The sequence below is a fragment of the Homo sapiens genome, chromosome 9 (genome assembly GCF_000001405.40).
Source record: "Homo sapiens chromosome 9, GRCh38.p14 Primary Assembly".
NCBI classification, from domain to species: Eukaryota; Metazoa; Chordata; class Mammalia; order Primates; family Hominidae; genus Homo; species Homo sapiens.
The window spans coordinates 33,264,972-33,286,982 of NC_000009.12; the positions used below are offsets into that span (position 1 = coordinate 33,264,972).

Below are 22,011 nucleotides of genomic sequence, written 5' to 3' on the forward strand. Positions count from 1 at the left end.
AGGCATATTGCGCTTGCGCACGGAGGGGCCGGAAGTCGAGGCGGGAGTGACTCTGCTTCCGTTTCTGGTTTTGCTCTAGTGTTTGGGTTTCTTCGCGGCTGCTCAAGATGAACCGACTCTTCGGGAAAGCGAAACCCAAGGCTCCGCCGCCCAGCCTGACTGACTGCATTGGCACGGTGGGCATTTGATCATGCATAAGTAGGCTCAGGACCTCTGACACACCCGACCCCGCCCACCCCCAGCCCCGGGCCCATATTCTTCCACTTCATTTCGGGTCCTGGGCCCCTTACACGTCGTCCCTCTCTATCTCACCTTCTCCCCTTCATCCCTGTTACCCAAGTCATTCCTAACGCCACAAACCAGGGAACCCCTAACCCCATCACTGCCTTGCCCTGCCAGCACCCAACCCGTTTTGATGCCCATTGCCCGTCCACTCGCTCTCGCCTTGATCCTCTCACCTCACCCAGCCCTAGGCCCATACACCCTTCCCACCTCATCCTGCCTGATCCCTTACCCTTCTTCCATCTGTCATCCCCAGTCCACATCAGGACTCAGCTTGATATCCTAGGTCAACATATCTGTGCCTTCGTCCTGGATCTCAGTAACACAAAACTCAGAACCCTAGCCCCTCAGATTAAGCCACCATCCCCGATTTAGGGAATGGCATTAGATCTACAATCAGCTGGTTTCACTTGGCACTGGCCCATTTCATGTGCCTCTTGGAGGAACTCTCAGCCTGGCTAGTCTCTGATTCTAGGGAAATTCCAACTCAACTCAGTGATTCTCAAATTATTTTCTGCCCCAACCCACTTGAAGGCTACCTGGTATATCAGAATCGGGGCAGTGTGGCGGGGGGTAAGAGAATAATTTATAAAGCCCAGGGTTTCTGGTTGGGAATACCCTTCTTTGTGAACCACTGTTTTTCACCCTTCCCCTTAAGCTCCTCTTTTCTTCCTCTGTATTCCTTCCTCTCTACCTGCCCCTTCTGGAATAAGTGTATTGCAGTAACTACCAGTGCATTTGATATTTTCCCCTAAGGTGGACAGTAGAGCAGAATCCATTGACAAGAAGATTTCTCGATTGGATGCTGAGCTAGTGAAGTATAAGGATCAGATCAAGAAGATGAGAGAGGGTCCTGCAAAGGTAAGGTGGGCAGCAACTGCTGCACAAGGTGCTGGCAGAGCCTAGTTTTAGCACCTATAGAAATAGGGCCTAGTTCGGCTGGGCGCAGTGGCTCATGCATGTAATCCCAGCACTTTGGGAGGCTGAGGCGGGTGGATCACGAGGTCAGGCATTTGAGACTAGCCTGGCCAACATAGCGAAACCCTGTCTCTACTGAAAATACAAAAACTTAGCTGGGCATGGTGGCAGGCGCCTGTAATCCCAGCTACTCAGGAGGCTGAGGCAGGAGAATCGCTTGAACCTGGGAGGCGGAGGTTGCAGTGAGCAGAGACCACACCATAGCACTCTAGCCCAAGTGACAGTGTGAGACTCCGTCTCAAAAAATAAGTGAAATAGGACCTAGTGCAGGGGCTGTGAGCATCCCTACAGAAGAGATGCTTACAGTCTGGTAAGGAGAAAACATGTGAGGGTGTATCCTTTAGGGAGGAGAGTTTGCAATCAAATATGGAAGGGAGGCTGGGGATTGATCTGGTGGAAAGAGATGCTGGTCACACGTCTAAAAGCATGTACATGAGAATTAGCATATTATACTGAGAAGGTGGTAATCTGGAGAGGAAGACTAGGCTGTGCTCAAGATCAATGACTTGCTAAGCTGGTCAGGTTAGGTTGGTATATTAGACTGCTTAAGGAGTGGCCTGCTGGGAAAAACTGAACTAGGCATCTGGGACCAGTGTTCTAATACACTGTCACTGCCTTCTAGTTGTGACCTTGATAAAGTCACTTATTTTCCACTCCTGTTAGGTAGAAACATAAAATACTGTGTTTAAGCACATGGACTGTGGATATAGAACTACCTTGTTTTTTCCAGATCCATAACTTATTAACCATGTGAGCCTGGGTATCACTGAACCTCTCTTTCCCCATCTGTAAAACAGAGATAATACCCACCTTACAGTATGAGGATTAAATGAGGTAATTGATGTGACCTGTGTACCACTATGTCTAGGATAAAGTAGTACTCAGTAAATATGAGTTATGATCATCTGTGAAGTAATAATACCTGTTTTTCCTTCCTCACTGGAGAAGACAAATAAAATGATCTACAGAATTCTATAGAAAAGGAAGGCTTTTCCCAGCCATCTTAGTGGATGGTGTGGAATGAAGAGCAACCAGAGGTAGGAAAGCCCATTTAGATTTGAGACAATGAAAGCCCAAACCATGGTGGTAGGAAACCAAAGAATCAGTTTGAAAGTGAGTTCTGAAATCAGCTAACAGGATGACTGTGCATGAAGAAACAACAGAAAGAGGAAAGATAAGGTTGATAAAAAGGTTTTCAACCTAGAGAGGTGAGAGATTGGTGGGCCATTGTTACTTATTTCAAAGGTGAGATAAGGTTCAGGAGTTTGGAATTGTTGAGGTTAAGTTGATGGGCTGTACAAGTGAAGAATCTCCCTAAGGCAACTGGATATACAGACTCAGCACTTTTGGGGCTAGAGGCAGAGATAATATGCATTAGGAAAAGAGAAAGTAGTTGAGGACTCTGGGATGTGGGATGCAAAGACAGATAGGAGCAAAGGCTTAAAGACTGGACCTTAGAGATACCTGTTTTTGGGAGGGGAAGTACAGAATCCAGGAGCCATTATGCCTACTACTTTGAAGAAGAGAGGAAGTAGGCATGTGAGTTTGAGGCTATGGGAAATTTCTTTTACCGTATATGTGTTTTCCACCTTATTTTTATTAAATCTGTTTTTCTCTCCAGAATATGGTCAAGCAGAAAGCCTTGCGAGTTTTAAAGCAAAAGAGGATGTAAGTTACACACACAATTTCTACCTCTAGCAGGTTTAACTAAAAGAGAAATGGTCTTCCATTCCTTCAGGTTTTCATACTATTTTCTAAGCACTCTTGATTTAATTACAAATTTTCATTGACGTGTAATTAAATACAGTTAGCTGGGTTGTTATCTGTTGTAACAACTTCCATCTAAATAGAACTTTTTGCCATGATGGAGATGCTCTATATCTGTGTGTTCAATACAGTAGCTATTAGCAACATGTGGCTATTGAGCACTTGAAATGTGGCTAGTGTGACTAAGGAAATGAAGTTTAAATTTTATTCAATTTAAATAATTTAAGTAGCCTTATATGGTTAGTGACTACTGTTTTGGACTGACCAGATCTGTAGGGTTTGGTTTTCCTATTATTTATTTTAGAGTGTACCTTTTTTGTTTTTGTTTGTGAAGTTAGGAATCCTAAATGTTTGTTCCCTCCCACCAGAATAAATTTAAAGATCCTTAATTTGTTTTAGGTGACTATGTCCCAATTTTGAGCAGAAGCTAACTAGTATCTTTGGTGCCTACCTCTGTAGACTGTTCAGCTGATGAGATCCTCTGCAGGGTTATAGAGGTCAGGTATAATTAGCTATCGAGGAGCCAGAAAGATTGTCAGTGTCTCTCTTCCTATATTAAAATGACTTTTTATAAGATACCAGATGCCATCTTCCTCCTTTTAGATTAGATCAAATTGGAAAAAGAAATTGTAATGCCTAGACTGGTGAGGGTGTGGTGAAATGATTTACCTTCTTAATTGGTGGCATTGCTAGTTTTAAGTAACCTTTTTTGTTATAAAAAGAATATAGGTTCATTGTAGAAACTTGGAAAATACATAAATATGAACAGAAGAAAATAAAATTTACCTAGATTCTTACTACTAGAAATAACCACCTTTAAAATGCTAATTTCTTCCAGTTTCTTTCCTCTGCTTCTGCATACGTGGTATGTGTGCATATAACTTTTTAGAAGAAATGAAATTGTAGTGTGTATATGTAGGTTTTCCTTTTCCACTTAATGTTATATCATGAGCATCTCCCTGTTCTTTTAAATATTCTTTGGAAACTTTACACTTTTTAATGAGATTATAATATTCTACCATTTGCTTGCACCATGAACGGACCATTCTTTTTCTAGTTGGATAGTTAGATTGTTTCCAATATTGTATAAAGAACATAGTGACATAAGTCTTTGAGGTAATATTATAATTTGATATAAAACTGTATTTTAAAAACATTTTGAACACCACACATTAGGTCAGATGGATTACCTAATTATGGGTGCAAAATTAATAAAACACCTGGGGCTGGGCACAGTGGCTCACACCTATAATCCCAGCACTTTGGGAGGCCAAGACAGAAGCTCACTTGAGGTCAGGAGTTGGAGATAAGCCTGGCCAACATGGTGAAACCCCATCTCCACTAAAAATACAAAAATTAGCTGGGCGTGTTTGCATGCGCTTGTAATCCCACCTACTTGGGAGGCTGAGGCAGGAGAATCGCTTGAACCCAGGAGGCAGAGGTTACAGTGAGCTGAGATGGCACCACTATACTCCAGCCTGGGCAACAGAGCAAGACTGGCTCTAAACAAATAAATAAGTAAATAAATAAACAAAATAAAATATGCCTGTCTTCAAGGAGTTCAAAATTCTGGAAAACCATTTAGCTATATGTATGAAGAGCCTTAAAAATAGTTTTACCCTTTGCTCTAAGAATTTCACTTCTGTATATTTATCATAGAAAATAATTATAAAGCCTTATTAAGATATGTAGCAGGCCGGGTGCGGTGGCTCATGCCTGTAATCCCAGCACTTTGGGAGGCCGAGGTGGGCGGATCATCTGAGGTTGGGAGTTCGAGACCAGCCTGACCAACATGGAAGAACCCGTCTCTACTAAAAATACAAAATTAACCAAGCGTGGTGGCGCATGCCTGTGATCCCAGCTACTCCGGAGGCTGAGGCAGGAGAATCTCTTGAACCCAGGAAGGTGGAGGCTGCAGTGAGCCGAGATCGTACCATTGCACTCCAGCCTGGGCAACAAAAGTGAAACTCTGTCTCAAAAAAAAAGATATGCAGCAACACAGAAAAAAGCAAATGCTATAATGTTAAGTGGAAAATAGTGTTATAACTAAAATACAGTCATGTGCTGCATAACAATGTTTTTGTCAATGAATGACAGAACAGACTGCATTATACCACTCTGGCCCCTATAAGGTTATAATACTGTATTTTTACTGTACCTTTTCTATAGGATGTTTAGATACACAAATACCATTGTGTTACAATTGGCTACAATATTCAGTACAGTAACATGCTGTACAGGTTTGTAGCCTAGGAGCAAGCAGTAGGCTATATCATATAGCTTAGGTGAATAGTGGGCTATACCACCTAGGTTTGTGTAAATACATTGTCTGATGTTTGCACAATGATGAAAGTGCCTAACAACATATTTCTCAGAACATATCCCCATTGTTAAGCGATGCATGACTGTACATGCAAAGGAAAAAGACTGGAGGGACACATCAAATGATATTTGTGTTAGAGTGATTAAATTGTTTTTGCCAATTTTTCTGCGTGATACCTAATTTTTAAGTTTTTTGTTCCGTTGTTTTTTTTTTAAATACTCTTATTTAGTGTGGGGATACTTTGTTCTTGAGGATTTCTATCTGGTTCATATATTTGCCATTCTCAATTGACTCTAAAAAGGTATGAGCAGCAGCGGGACAATCTTGCCCAACAGTCATTCAACATGGAACAAGCCAATTATACCATCCAGTCTTTGAAGGACACCAAGACCACGGTACTCCCAAAACACCTTTTCCTGTTATTTCATGTATTTATTCTTATTCTCTTTTCCGATGGCTTTTTAAAGACAGTTTAACCAGCCAGGCACAGTGGCTCACGCCTGTAATCCCAACACTTTGGGAGGCTGAGGTGGGTGGATCACCTGATGTCAGGAGTTTGAGACCAGCCTGACCAACATGGTGAAACCCTGCCTCTACTAAAAATACAAAAATTAGCTGGGTGTGGTGGCGTGCACCTGTAATCCCAGCTACCTGGGAGTCTGAGGCAGGAGAATCACTTGAACCCAGGAGGCGGAGGTTGCAGTGAGCCATTGCACTCCAGCCTGGGCAGCAAGAGTGCAACTCTGTCTCAAATAAATAAATAAATAAATAAAGACAATTTAACCAACATGACTTACTAAAACATTGTGTTTTCTTCTTCCTTTTCTTAGGTTGATGCTATGAAACTGGGAGTAAAGGAAATGAAGAAGGCATACAAGCAAGTGAAGATCGACCAGATTGAGGTGAGACATATGCTAGTTTCTGCAAGAATGTGCACTAGTTTCTGAGAGAATCCAAACGAGTGTGCATGTGATAGGAAGAGCACAGGAGAGGAACTGAATCTTGGGGCTGCCATTTACTAGTAGAGTAACTTCGAGAAAGGGTACCAAATGTCTCAGTTTCCTCAGTGCAAGGATCCTAATACCACATACAGTTACAGACAGTCCCCGATTTAAGACGGTTCAACTTAACGATTTTTCAGTTTGATGATGGTGCGAAAACTATATGCATTCAGTAGAAACCATACTTTGAGTATCCACGTAACCATTCTGTTTTTCAGTTTCCATACAATATTTAATAAATTACATGAGATACTCAACACTTTATTATGAAATAGGCTGTTAGATGATTTTGCCCAACTGTAGGCTAATGTAAGTGTTCTGAGCACAATTAAGGTAGGCTAGGCTAAGTGATGGTTCAGTAAGTTAGGTGTATTGAATGCACTTTCTACTTAAGATATTTTGAACTTAAGATGGGTTTATCAGGATGTAACCCTATCATAAGTCAAGGAACTTCTATATTATGAGGATGAAATAAATGAGCTAGTATCTCTACACACACAATGCCTGGCCTATGATAAGCATCCAGTAGTTACTTTTAACTAATTCGATGATATTTAGTCTGTTTCTTCGATGGTAGTGGTGTTGTTGCCTATTCCCAGGATTGTCATGAGTGTTAAATGAAGGTATGTAGGTAAAGTGTATGTAAAATGTTTAACCCAACTCCTGGCGTGGTAGACTTGGTTCCCTTTTCTAGTAATTCTCTTTAGATTTTTAATAATAATGTCATTAGTTCCTTAAAGTTAGCATTTCTTATTGGAATTGGGTTTTGACCAGGGAGATGAGCCCTAAGAGCTTGGCAGCTCTCAGCTGTCAGATGAACAGCCCAGGTGGCAAGAAGAGATAGCAGAGGGAGTGAGTGGTGACTGGTCAGAGGAGAGAGGCTTCCTTTCTGCATATAAAATGGCGCTCTTGACCTTTACCCCCCTGACTAGAATGTCCATTTCCTTGAATGCAGGGACTTGATTTTGTTCACTACTGTGTCCCCAGTGCCCATAACAATGCCCTGCCATGGTTGGTGCTCAGAAAGTATTTGCTGGTTGATGAATCAGAGGCTATAAAGGGAGATAAAGCAAAAAAAAAAAAAAAAAGAGAGAAAGCAGTACAGCCTGATTCAAGCAGTGTTTGTTAAAATACCAGGCATTTTATTGCCTCTGCAAAGATATTCTCTCATAAAGCTGATCTTTAGTAAGAGTGAAGGCAGGCTGGGCATGGTGGCTCACTCCTGTAATCCCAGCACTTTGGGAGGCCGAGGCGGGTGGATCATGAGGTCAGGAGATCAAGACCATCCTGGCTAACACGGTGAAACCCTGTCTCTACCAAAAATACAAAAAATTAGCCGAGCATGGTGGTGTGTGCCTGTAGTCCCAGCTGTTCGGGAGGCTGAGGCAGGAGAATGGCAACCCGAGAGCAGAGCTTGCAGTGAGCCAAGATTGCGCCACTGCACTCCAGCCTGGGCGACAGAGCAAGACTCCGTCTCAAAAAAAAATAAAAGAGTGAAGGCATTCCTCCCCTCTCTTATTTTTTCAAGCATCCCTCTTAGGTTGCCTTTGTCTGTCTCTAATCCTCCACAAATGTTTGCATACATGGAATTAAACTTTGTGATACTCTCTAAGAGCTTCACTGATGAAAGTGTTCTGTATATGCTTGTCTTTTTTTGTTGTTGTTGTTGAGACAGAGTCTCGTTCTGTCACCAAGGCTGGAGTGCAGTGTGATCTCGGCTCACTGCAACCTCCGCCTCCTGGGTTCAAGCAATTCTCCTGCCTCAGCCTTCCAGATAGCTGGGATTACAGGTGCCTGCCACCACACCCAGCTAATTTTTGTATTTTTTTAGTAGAGATGGGGTTTCGCCATGTTGGCCAGGCTAGTCTCAAACTCCTGACCTCAAGTGATCCGCCCACCTCGGCCTCCCAAAGTGCTGGGATTACAGGTATGAGCCACCACTCCCAGCCATTTTTTTTTTTGTATAATATCATTTGCCATTAAAATATAATGAAATGCAATGGTATTTTCTGCTTTTAGGGTTCCTTGTGTTTTAATTAAAGCTATTTAATAGGAACAAAAGAGAAACTTTGGTCTTGGTGAATGCTTTGTATGTCTCTTCGTCTTTCACCTGTGGTTGTCTGTCTGTCTCCCTGCCTAATTATCCTTTTCCTGTCCTCCAATAGATTGCCAGCATGACAGGTGGAGAGCCCCTTTAACTCTTTTGGTGTGTATGTGTCTTTGGTTAGATCGAATTTTTTGGTCAGATTTATTTTCCTAAAATGCTTTACTTAGAAAATATTTTCATTGTTTTATAGCTTTAACTTTTTATTTTGCTGTTGTGTGTGTGTAGGTCTGTTTTTCTTCTGCTTTTTCAGTTGCTGCATATCACTTTGTCAATGTTCTTTTTAGCTTAGTGCTTTTTTTTTTTATATTGCTTTTGTTTGTTTATACAATAGAGAACCAGTTAATGGTTTGTGGGATAAATTTTTTCTGTGTCTATCCTGGAGTCTTGCTAGGAATCCTATTCATAGATGATCCGGGAAGATGTGTCTTGATGTGTAATACTATTGTATAAGCTTGACTTGATTAGCTTTCTCTATGTTATTTTCATTGTCTTTAATTATTACTCAGCCAGTGCTTCTCTGTGTAGCAGAGTGTTAAATATGCATATAATTTGGCAGTTTGGTACTTGGAAATACAGAAAATCAAAGTTTAAAAAAAAAATTTCCCCTCCATTTTACTACCCTTTTCACCTTTCACCTTTATGGGGGCCAGGAAGGAATTTTCTTTTTTCTTTTTTTTTTGCTGTTGCCTAGGCTGGATTATAGTGACTCAGTCTCAGCTCACCGCAACCTCTGCCTCCCAGGCTCAAGCCATCCTTCTACTTCAGTCTCCTGAGTAGCTGAGACTACAAGCATGCACCATGCCCAGCTAATTTTTGTATTTTTTTGTGGAGATGAGGTTTTGCCATGTTCCCCAGGTTGGTCCCAAACTCCTGAGCTCAAGTGATCCGCCCTCTTTTGCCTCCCAGAGTGCTTGGATTACAGGCATAAGCTACTGCACCCAGCAGAATTTTCAAATGTCTTGCATTGCTTTAGAAATTCTGAAGGATAAATGGTGCTGATTTGGTCCTTTTGCTTTATCAACACTAGTTCTGTTCCTGTCTGTGTGGAATTTTAGTATATGAAGAGTGTATTGTTGTTCCGCACATAATTAACACAGTAAAATATATATAGTATTAGGTGCTTAGTGTTTTACATATATTATTGCAATAAATCCTTACAATAACCCCAGTGAGATATGGCTATTTTATTTATTTATTTATTTTTGAAACAGAGTCTCGCTCTGTCGCCCAGGCTAGAGTGCGGTGGCGCGATCTCGGCTCACTGCAACCTCTGCCTCCTGGGTTCAAACGATTTTCCTGCCTCAGCCTCCCGGGTAGCTGGGATTACAGGCGCATGCCACCATGCCTGGCTAATTTTTTGTATTTTAGTAGAGATGGGGTTTCACCATGTTGCCCAGACTGGTTGCGAACTCCTGAGTTCAGGCAATCCACCCACTTTGGCCTCCTGAAGTGCTAGGATTACAGGCATGAGCCACCGCGCCTGGCCAGATATGGCTATTAATAATTCCATTTTACAGATGAGGAAAATAAGGCTTAGAGACATTACTTCTCATTGAGTAATGGCAAAATTGAACTTGGGTATATCTGACTCCAGAGTCTCACTCCTAACCATTATACCAGCTGCCCTTTGTTATGCTATACCACTTCTTAGATTGGTTTCATATTACAGTTTACCCTTGAACAGCAAATGCAGTTTGAACTGCACGAGTCACTTATATGCAGATATTTTTCAACCAAACGAGGATCGAAAATATAGTGTTTGCAGGATGCGAAACCACCCATATGGAGGACCAACTGGGGACTTGGGTGTGGGCAGATTTTGGTATAGACAGACATCCTGGAACCAATCCCTTGCGTGTACCAAGGGACAACTGCATTTTTAGCCTTGTAGTAATCTCCCAGTTAAGCACAGGTAGATTATTCACACAGGGTTTATGCCCTTGGTCCATTTTTTTCACCAGCCTTGTCTTGGCTGTGACACCTATCCTGATTCCCTTTCTGATTCTCCATCCAGGGTGGGCCCATGTACAACTCACTTTTTGTACCACTTCAGTTGTTTCTACTCTTGCCTCCTTTCTCTACACAGTGTAATCTGTCTTTCGCTGACTTGAGAAGAATAATTTGCTTGTCTCAGTAACCTCCCTGTCTTCATTAACTAGAAAATGATTGACAGTTTAGATCAAGATAATTGCTTGATTTAATGTTTCAAGTAAAACTTTCTGTAATAGTAGACAGCTGACAATCATCTATTCTCACATAGGACTTTGGGCTTCCATGAGGCACTTTAAAATCAAATCCAGCCGGGCACAGTAGCTCATGCCTATAATCCCAGCACTTTGGGAGGCTGAGGTGGGCAGATCACCTGAGGTCAGGAGTTTGAGACCAGCCTAACCAACATGGCAAAACCCCACCTCTACTGAAAATACAAAAATTAGCTAGGCGTGGTGGTGCACACTTGTAATGTCAGCTATTTGGAGGCTGAGGCAGGAGAATCACTTGAACCCGGGAAGTGAAGGTTGCAGTGAGCTGAGATTGCACCATTGCACTCCAGCCTGGGTGACAAAGCGAGACTCCATCTCAATAAATAAATAAATAAAGTAAAAAATAAAATGAGAGATCATCAATTCTATTCTTTAAGTTCACATTTTGCCACCAAAAATAGGCAAGGGATTATGTGGGTCAGTAACATTCATAATTATTGTTAGAGGAGGTCTTTGGGCTTATGGTTTTTAATTCTTTAAGCATTCTCTCATACTTTTAATTAGAAGGGATGTTTTAAGAGTTACTTGAACCTGTCCTTTAGAGGAGTGTCTGCTCAGTTGTTAACATTAAAAAATTGCTAGCCAAAGACTGGGATAGGGGAGGTGAACTAACAGTTGTTGAGAACTGTTTATGTGCTTGGCATTTTATATACATTATCTTTTTAAAAATTGCTCATGTCTAGATTCAAAGGAGAATGTAGGGGAAAAGGGTAGTTAAAAGAAAATGGTAAATGAGAGAAAATCCTCTCATATATATTTCCGTAGGATTTACAAGACCAGCTAGAGGATATGATGGAAGATGCAAATGAAATCCAAGAAGCACTGAGTCGCAGTTATGGCACCCCAGAACTGGATGAAGATGATTTAGAAGCAGGTAAGTTATGAGAAAAGTAATGTATATTTAGTTTTGGAGTCCAAAAGCAACAGCTGCCTGGGACCTTTTCTCAAATGCTAGTGAAAATTTCTATCAGGATTTCCTGAAGGTTAGTTTATGGTACTGTCCCTGGGCAAAGAGCTTGTGAGGCAGCCACATCAGATTGCATACTCCACCAACAACAGTGGGATGGATCAACTCTGAAGGAAGTCCAGGTACAGGCTGACCTGGTGCTTGGTATCTGTAAGTGTCCTCCACGTGGCCTTTCCTTGCTGTATTCCTTTTGATTTTGTTCTCACTATTTTCCTAGTTGGAGTCCTCTCCCTCAGAACAGCAAAACCAATTAAGAAACAATAATTAGGGCCAGGTGCCCTAATCCCAGCACTTTGGAAGGCCAAGGTAGGCGGATCCACTCAAGCCCAGGAGTTCGAGACCTGGCTGAGCAATATGGCGTCACCCCGTCTCTATAAAAAATACAAAAATTACCCAGGCATGGTGGTGTGCGCCTGCGGTCCTAGCTACTCGGGAGGCTGAGGTGGAAGGATCACTTGATCCCAGGAGGTAGAGGTTCCAGTGAGCCGAGATTGCCCCACTGCAGCCTGGGCAACAGAGTGAGACCTTCTCTCAAAAAAAAAAAAAAAAAAAAAAAAGAATAGTTGGCAAATACTTAGTGTGCATCTACTCTATGCCAGGTACTCTACTAGGTGGTGGGAATTTAGCACTGAATAAAAATGCAGCCCCTACATTCATGAACCTTCTCTAGCAGTGGAAGACATAAATGGTTTGCTTCAAGTAATTAATTACTAGAGCACAGACTATAGGGAAGAAGTATGGGGTAGCATGGGAGCACATACTAAGGGACTCTAACCTAGTTAGTAGTGGGAGAGAGGCATGGGACCTGAAGGGTGAGTAGGGGATAGCATGAAAAAATGAGAAGGGTTGTCGAATGGCCTCAGGGAGAGCAGTCTGGAAGTTATTGCGATAGCCATTTAAGAGATGATGGTGGCCGAGACTAGCTAGGGTGATGGTAGCAGAAACAGACAGAAGTGGACAGATTGAAGACATCTTAGAAAATTGAGTGGACAAGACTTAATGATTGACAGGATGTGGAAGAAGTGGGAGGTGTCAAGGGTGGCTGTCAGTTTCTAGCATGAGTAACTGGGTAGATGACAGAACCATTCCACACTGGATTTCTATTGTGTGATTCCCCTGTTACATTACTACTGCTGCTTTCCCGCTCTCTCCATGGTCTATTTTTGCCTAGAACCTTTCATTTTTTTTCCACTTATTTCTTTATTTTTTAATTTCCCATCTTCAATTGCCCCTGATAAGTCTCTACCTGCTATTGTCATTCCTCTTGGCCACTTCCAACTCATTTTACCACAGACTTATTTTTGGAGTCTGATTTCACGTAATGGTCACACAGCATACAACAATCTCATGCCCTCTTCACTGCCTTCTTTCAAGTCCATCGATAAATGAGAGAAATTATTAGCTGCCAGTTTTCTTGGTTACATTTTTTTTAAATGTTGACTGTTTCAATCTCAGAGTTGGATGCACTAGGTGATGAGCTTCTGGCTGATGAAGACAGTTCTTATTTGGATGAGGCAGCATCTGCACCTGCAATTCCAGAAGGTGTTCCCACTGATACAAAAAACAAGGTGAAAGCTTTTTCTGTTTATATTTCAATGCAAAATAGCAAAGGCTTTATGCTTGACCATAAGTCTGGGAATCTAAAAGGTAGTCTTAACATTAGAACAAAGAAAGACAGTCCTGGTCATTATTTTGTGAACCCTTGAAGGTCCGGTTTTTCTGCATTGGATGATGAACTGACTGCATAAACACTGTCACTGAGGCTCAGGAATATTTTTATAGAATGACAATTTGTGTAACATACATGATCACCCTTGTTGTGAGCTGGCACTGGGTACCATTGATGGGTCTTAGACATTTCCTGTAAAAGCGTAAGCAACACATGCATGAGACTTGCTAGGCAGCAGTGAAAAAGTCTCACTCTTCATACACACCAGTTAATTACTGGCTGGATTTTTAATTTTATTTTCCTTTCTTTTTCTTTTTTTTTTTTCCTGTACACACAGGAGTTTAGAATGGGTGGATTTTCTAAACTATGGATTAATAATTTAAGCATAAAACTTAATGTAGAAAGATTCTAATTTAAGGCAAAAGAATCAGAACACCTGACACTAAGTATGACTAATTACTTAGCTATTGTAAGCTTTTCTTTTCCTTGCATCTGTAAAATGCAGATAATTACAAGTATCTCACGTAATTGTTGTGCAAGCAAATTAGATCTTGTATGTAAAGGACTGTGCAAACTTAAAGCTCTGTCCAAATCTACATGATTGTCTTTTTTTTTGAGACAGAGACTCATTCTGTCACTCAGGCTGGAGTGCAGTGGCGTGATCTCAGCTCACTGCAACCTCCGCCCCCCTGGTTCAAGCAATCCTCGTGCCTCAGCCACCCCAGGTAGCTGCGATTACAGGTGCGCGCCAACATGCCTGGCTAATTTTTGTATTTTTAGTAGAGACGGGGTTTCACCATGTTGGCCAGACTGGTCTCAAACTCCTGGTCTCAGGTGATCTGCCTGCCTCAGCCTTCCAAAGTGCTGGGATTACAGGCATGAGCCACTAATAATGACAACCAGGCTGGGCAAGGTGTGACTTTGAGCAAAATAGCAGAAATTTATGTCTTCTTTTTGAACCTCATCAGTTTTTCCTACCTGTAAAATGTGAGAGCAAAGGGCAGGGAGCAGGTAATTTCTTAGGTCCATTATTACTGGTTTCTGTGAGTATGCATCTTCCTCTATTGTATCCTTCCCTTCTCTGTTGAGCCTGGGATAGTCTTGCCTTTCTGAACTGCCCACTCCTCCCCGACCTCTCTGGCAACTTCAAGGTCCCAGGTCCATGGGTTGCTTTTTCTCAGCAACCCATGAAATAATTTTTATTAATACTACCATAGTCCACCTTGTTAATTTTCTAGTAACAAGTCCCTGTAGCGGCCAGGCGCGGTGGCTCAAGCCTGTAATCCCAACACTTTGGGAGGCTGGGGCAGGCGGATCACGAGGTCAAGAGATCGAGACCATCCTGGCCAACATGGTGAAACCCCGTCTCTACTAAAAATATAAAAAATTAGCTGGGCGTGGTGGCAGGCTCCTGTAATCCCAGCTACTTGGGAGGCTGAGGCAGGAGAATCACTTGAAGCCGGGAGGCGGAGCTTGCAGTGAGCCGAGGTCGTGCCATTGTACCACTCCAGCCTGGGCAAAAAGAGCAAAACTCAATCTCAAAAAAAAAAAAAAAAAAAAAGTCCCTGAAGCATCTATGTTATTTCCACTTTGAGAAGGTCACAGATTCCTGAGTTATATATGCTGTGGATATATGGGGGTTTTGTTGTTGTTGTTGTTTTATCTTTTTGAGATGGAGTCCCGCTGTGTCACCCAGGCTGGAGTGCAGTGGCACAATCTCAGCTCACTGCAACCTCCACCCCCGGATTCAAGCAATCCACCCACCTCAGCCTCCCAAGTAGCTGAGATTACAGGCATGCTTCACCACACCTGGCTAATTTTTTTGTTTTTAATAGAGATGGGATTTCACTATGTTGGTCAGGCTGGCCTCGAACTCCTGACCTCAAATGATCCACCTGCTTCAGCCTCCCAAAGTGCTGGGATTACAGGCCTGAGCCACCGCGCCCGGCCTGTTGTTGTTTTTAAAGTAAAGGAATAAAAGAATGGCTACTCCATAGGCAGAGCAGCCCTGGTGTTTTCATTGATAGTGATGTCGCTGCCTATGATTATAGTAAAGCATGATATGGAAGTGACTGCCTATCCACGGGCACTGCTCCTTCAAGGATTTGGGAGGCTAAGAAAGGTATTGGTCCAGAGTGAAAATGCAAATCTGGAGGCAAGGACCCACTCCTCAACCTTTCCTTTTTGACTCTCCCAGCCTCCTTTTCCCCTTTCCAGGTTTACTCTTAGATTTCTCTTTCTCCCTCTTTCACTCTCTTTCCCCTGTGGAGGAGCCCCCTTTTGGCCCTTTCTAGTTCTCTTCTTGATTCATCACTTCCTCCTTTACCTTTCATGAAAAAGCTTGTTCTCATCTTATGACTGCGATTTTGGTTTTGATTGATTAAATACTTGGAAATGAGTTTTAACTATTAAATGTTTGTAATCCTTTTTTTTTTTATCAAATAGAAAAATAGTGGCACTAAACATTGCTTCCTTTTTACAGGATGGAGTTCTGGTGGATGAATTTGGATTGCCACAGATCCCTGCTTCATAGATTTGCATCATTCAAGCATATCTTGTAAAACAAACACATATTATGGGACTAGGAAATATTTATCTTTCCAAATTTGCCATAACAGATTTAGGTTTCTTTCCTTTCTTTGAAGGAAAGTTTAATTACATTGCTCTTTTATTTTTTCCATTAAGAGACTCATTGCTTGGGAAATGCTTTCTTCGTACTAAAATTTGATTCCTTTTTTTCTTATGAAAAACGAACTCAGTTTAAAAGTATTTTTAGCTCGTATGACTTGTTTTCATTCATTAATAATAATTTGAAATAAAACTAAGGAAATGGAATCTTAAAAGTCTATGACAGTGTAACTCTACAGTCTCAAAATGACCTGATAAATTGATAAGACAAAGATGAGATTATTGGGGCTGTTCATATTATGATTCAGAATCATTTTCTATTGTGGTATTATAGGTTGGTTAAAGTGATGGCCTTTTTGATGGGTTTTGTTGTGTCTTGTGAACAAGTCGTTACTGTGTCCATTATTGGAATGGAATTATCACTACTGTATCATGAGTGGGTATTTTGATTCTATGGTTCCCTCAGTATTACATCTTGACTTGTAATCAATTATGAATATTTCTTGATATTTAATGTATAGGACATTTATTTATACTCAATAAATATTTTTCAAAAGGATATAATTTTAATAATATCACTTCAGCTTAAAACCTCTACTGCGGAAACCAAATTTAATAGAATTTTAATGTCATTTCAGCCTATAACTCCACTACAGAAACCAAATTAACCAGTAGCATTGTGAGGAAAGAGCAAGGAACAATCTGGGCTTGGGCCCTGGGTCTACCATTTACTAACTACTGAGTAGTCTATTCAACCTCTCTAACCTTCTGTTTCCTTATTAGTAAAATCATGCTTAACTCACAGAGCTTTTGTGAGGAATAATTGAGGTAATGGTCATAAGTACCTTGTTAACTGCAAGGGGCTATTCTTATATGAGGGATTGTTAACAATAAAAAAGAAACTGCTTCATTCTTTTCTTGGAAGGTGCCTGGAGTACTACAGCAAGTTCAAACTCCTGCCCAATTTCAGGGTCTTTAATGATCCTGTCCTCCCTTCCTCATTCAACTTGTTGCCAACAGCATGGCCCCTCCAGCCTAGCTGGGTGCCTCACAGTGCTATGTGCACCTGACTCTCATGTGTCTGCAGATCAAACCAATAAACATTTAGGAACACCAGCTTTGTAGAAGTCTCTGTACCAGCCCAGGGGTTACCAAGTTCCTCTCTTCAGGAGTTCTTGTCTAGTTACAAGTGGAGATGAGATAACGTATGTAACCCTCTCCTATCTCCAACCTCACCTTCTCAAGAAGCCTTCCAGAGGGAGCAAACATTATAGTATTCATCATTACCTTCTTGAAACCTTTCTTGGCTTTTCTGTGAGTTCTGTGTTTTCTTCTAATCTGGCCCACTTACTCTCTTATATGGATACCTCTTTCTTAGCCCCTTGAATATTTCTTCCATTAGAGTTCCAATCTGTATTCTACTTGAGAAATCTCACACCCATGATATCAACTATTACCTACACACTAATGACTCAAAATGACTGTCACTAGCCTAGACTTCTTATCCTTATTTTCAATTCTGGGCATTTCCACTTAAATGCCCCATCGTTACCTAGAATCTAACATATCCAAATTAAGCTCATTATCTTGGGGTTCACTGTCAGCAAACATTTCTCGTTGATTTCTCGTCTTGCTTAGTGTTACCAGTGATTCATATATTGCCCATTTTAGTGGGTGATATTTAGCCCTTTAGCTAGACCACATTAGTGCATTGGATATGAGTGAGCAATCATTCTACCTAAATCTCTACTCTCTTGGGTTTTGTGATAGTACTCTCCGGTTCTCCTGTTCCTCTAACTATTCCCTCTAAGGCTTCTTTCTGAAATCCTCAACTCTCTAACTGTAATGTTACTGCTCCTCTGGATTCTAGCTTTTACCCCCCAGACTTCTTTCTCTGTTTACTTACATTTAGTGATCTCAGCTATTCTCATGGCTTTAACTGCTAACTTCCAAATCTATACTTCTATCCCTGAACTTGCCCCTGAGTTTCAGAATCTTATTTATATCCAGCTGTTTGCCTAACAAATATTTGGATGTTCCAGAAGCCCACAAGCACCTCACATTCAAATAGCTGAAACAGCCTATCACCTTTCCTCAGACCTGAATCTCCTGCTTCTGTTTTCCCTGTCTCATGATGGGAGATGTGAGACAGGGAAACCATTGTCTCATGATGGGAGGCTGTGAGGCTAATGGAATTATTATTCTCCTATCATTTAAAACAGAAAGCGCTTGAGTTGTCCTTGATGCCTACATTTTGCCTACACAGTCAATTATCCTTAAACCCTAATCCCTGTTTCTCAAATCTAACTCCTCCTCTCCTTCTCTCAACTCTCGCTGGCCTAGATGTCTCTCACATAGTCTTTTGGAATGTCTTCTCTTCTCGCATAGTTTCACTTCCTTGAGTACACTGATCACATATAGCTACTCTTACCTTTCTAAAATATAAATCTGACTTGAATTCTTTAATGTCCTCTAATACTTCCACCGGGGCATAAAAAGCTGCCAATGACCTGGCCTCTGCCTATCTGTAATGGTTTATTGCCTAGTCTTTTCAGAAAGCATTTCCTTTCTTTCAAGGGAACTGCTCCCCCATTTCAACTGTGCGATTATTAGGAACATGCCAATTTTAGAGTAGTACTGTCCTTACCCTTCCAAGCTATGGAAGTGTGTATGTGGTCACGCTGTGTCTATCAGAGTCCATAACTCACATTTTCTAAATAGAAAGTAGGGGAAGTGCTACTCTTTGTCAGTATGAGAGATTGAAGCCAGAGGGGAGCCAAGATGAGAGACAGACTGAAAGATGTCCATGGCACTCAGCTCTGAATTCTGATCCTTGACATTCCAAGTCTCTACAACTCTTCGTTCTGTGAGGTATTTGAGGATTCTGCAAATAAACTTAACCCCCTTTTCTGCTTAAAGTAGTTGGCATTGGGTTCCTGTCACTTGCCAGTAAGAGACAGAATAATTGCTCTGCAGCTTGTGTCATGTCACACTTTTCAATTTTGTGATCTAGTAATTGTTCTGCATCTGGTCCCCCCACATCCACCATATAGCCATGATTCCTTGCCTCTGTTCATGGTTTCTCCTACCTGAAGCTTCCTTATGTCTTTGTCATTCTGCTAATTCTTCCTGTATTGGGGAAAGGCCAAAGGGCATGCCCTGGTCTGCATCAATACCAGTGAATTAAAGGAAAGTGGAAGGAGTGAGTCCTGTATTAGAAAGCCCTAGGTACCATAAAGCCTGTGATCATCACTCCTATAGCTACCACCAGACAACCTCACTGGTCAATATTTCACCTGTTAACTACTAGGAAAGAGCAGAATTGAGTGCAGGGGGTCCTAGGTTTTAATCTGTCAGTTCTGAGAGTTTAGCAGGAATGGGGAAGGAGATTGATATGATTCTGTATAGAAAAAGTTTGGCACTTCTATCATCCATATCCCTTAGCTTTCCTTTTGTGTTTTCTTATAGTTATGTCACCAAGAGAGTTATTAAAAATATTGATGTCTGGGTCCTACCCCCATAGATTCTGATATAATAGATCTGGATACAGTGTGGGCATTTGGATTTTTAAAAGCTCCCCCAAGTACTTAAGTGTATCCAGAGTTAACTGCTGCTCTGTGGTGCCTGATCAGTCTGAACCTATTTTCATGGTTAAGCATTCTGGACTGTTACCATCAATTTCTGCAGTGAAGGAGTAGGCAATGATTGCCCTAAGGTAAAGTTGTTCGTCCACGGAATAAATTGGGAAGTACTCCCTCCTCCTGTATTTTTTGGAAGAGTTTGTGAAGGATTAGTGTTCATTCTTCCTTGAACATTTGGTAGAATCATGTGGGTTTGGGTGTTTCTTTATGGGAAGTTTTTAAAATTACTGATTCAGTCTCTACTTGTTATAGGTGTATTCAGATGTTCTATTTATTCTTGAGTACTCTGTGTCTTCCTAGGAATTTTTCCACTTCATCTAAGTAATCTAATTTGGTTGGCATGCAGTTGTTCATAGTAGTCCCTTTTGATCCTTTTTATTTCTGTAATGTGGGTAGTAATGCCTATGTTTTCATCCATCATTTTAGTAATTTCAGTTTTTCTCCTTTTTTCTTGATTATTCTCTCTAAACATTTTTATCACTTTGGTTCAATGAACTGTTGATTTTTTTCCGTTCTTTTTCTATTTCAATAATTTCTGGTCTTTTATTATTTCTTTTCCTTCTACATGCTTTGGTTTAGTTTGTTTGCTCTTCTTTTTCTTTTTTCCTTTTTTTTTTTTTTTTTTTTTTTGAGACAGGGCCTCACTCTACTGCCCAGGCTGGAGTGCAGTGGTACAATCATAGCTCACTGCAATCTCAGCCTCCCAGATTCAAGCAGTCCTCCCCAGCCTCCCTAGTAGCTGGAACTACAGACATGTGCTATCAAGCCCAGCTAATTTTTTTTTCAATTTTTAGTAGGGATGGGGTATCACTATGTTGCCCAGGCTAGTCTGAAACTCCTAGCCTCAAGCGATCCTCTCGCCTTGGCCTCCCAAAGTGCTGGGATTACAGGTGTGAACCACCCCCACCCCAGCCCTGTTATTCTTTTTCCAATTTCTTAAGGTGGAAGTTTAGGCTATTGATTTGCAATTTTTCTTCTTTTTTATTAATAAACTTTATTTTTTTAGAGTTTTGGGTTCACAACAAATTGAGTGGAAAACACAGAGAGCTCCCATATAACACACAACCTTCCCGCTATCAGCTTCCCTCACCACGGTGGTATGTTGCAATCAGTGAATCTACACTGACACATTATTATCACACGAAGTCTATAGTTTACATTAGGGTTCACTCTTGATGTACATTCTATGGGGTTTTTTGTTGTTTTTTGCTTGAGATGGGGTCTCACTGTGTTACCCAGGCTGGAGTGCAGTGGCATGATCTCAGCTCACCACAACCTCCGCCTCCCGGGCTCAAGTGATCCCACCTCAGCTTCCTGAGTAGCTGGGACCTCAGGCGCATGCTACCATGCCCAACTAATTTTTGTATTTTTAGTAGAGATGGGGTTTCACCACGTTACCCAGGCTGGTCTTGAACTCCTGGGCTCAGGCGATCCATCCGCCTTGGCCTCCCAAAGTGCTGGGATTACAGGCATGAGCCGCCATGCTAGTGATTCTATGGGTTTTAACAAATATAATGACATGTATCCCCCTTTGTAGTATCATGCAGAATAGTTCACTGCCCTAGCAATAGTTCACTACCCTAGCAGTCCTCTGTACTCTGCCTATTCATCCTTCTCTCCCCTTTAACTCCTGTCAACCACTGATCTTTTTACTGTCTCTATAATTTTGCCTTTTCCAGACTGTTACATAGTTGGAATCAAATAGTAAATGGTCTTTCCAGATTGCCTTCTTTCACTTAGCAATATGCATTTAAGTTTTCTCCATGTCTTTTCATGGCTTGATAGTTCATATGGATTTGGGATTTTTTGTCTTGTTTGGTGTTTTTGAGACAGGATCTCGCTCTGTCACCCAGGCTGGAGTGCTGTGGTGCAATCTTGGCTCACTGCAGCCTCCGCCTCCTGGGCTCAAGTGATCCTCCCACTTCAGCCTCCTGTGTAACTGGGACTACAGGTATGCACCACCAAGCTTGACTAATTTTTGTATTTTTGGTAGAGACTGGGTTTCGCCATGTTGCCCAGGCTGGTCTCGAACTCCTGGACTCAAGCGATCCACCTGCTTTGGCCTCCCAAAGTGCTGAGATTACAGGCATGAGCCACCATGCCTGGTCTTTGGGTATTTTTTGTTTGTTTGTTTTTTGATAGTATCTCGCTATGTTGCCCAGGTTGGGCTTGAAATCACCTGGGCTCAGACAATCCTCTTGCCTCAGCCTCCCAAGTATCTGAGACTACAGGTAAACACCAACATGCTGGCTTCATTTGTTTTGGGCACTGAATAATATTCCATTATCTGGAGTTCTTTTTCAAATATAAGTGTTTACAGCTATATATTTCCATCTTTCACCACCTGCAGCTTTCACCACCTGCCATAAGCTTTAGTATGTTGCATG

General features: G+C 41.6%; 1 protein-coding gene across 2 annotated transcripts, besides 1 other annotated feature; it reads left to right on the top strand.

Annotated features, from left to right (window-relative positions):
• Nucleotides 46-285: an enhancer, noted in NCBI's record as "active region_28291". NCBI's record gives its function as "activates an Ori minimal core promoter by ATAC-STARR-seq in GM12878 lymphoblastoid cells {active_cell/tissue: GM12878}" and the evidence as "EXISTENCE:reporter gene assay evidence [ECO:0000049][PMID:35858748]".
• Nucleotides 78-17,099, top strand: CHMP5 (charged multivesicular body protein 5). 2 transcript variants are annotated; one of them, NM_016410.6, is made up of 8 exons: nucleotides 78-176; nucleotides 1,039-1,143; nucleotides 2,882-2,928; nucleotides 5,652-5,745; nucleotides 6,181-6,252; nucleotides 11,485-11,593; nucleotides 13,142-13,254; nucleotides 15,838-17,099. In NM_016410.6, the coding sequence occupies exons 1-8, from the start codon at nucleotides 108-110 to the stop codon at nucleotides 15,886-15,888; spliced, it is 660 nt and encodes a 219-aa protein (NP_057494.3). In that variant the 5' UTR covers nucleotides 78-107; the 3' UTR covers nucleotides 15,889-17,099. The 2 variants fall into 2 exon arrangements, with proteins under 2 accessions (NP_057494.3, NP_001182465.1); NM_001195536.2 differs by lacking the exon at nucleotides 13,142-13,254.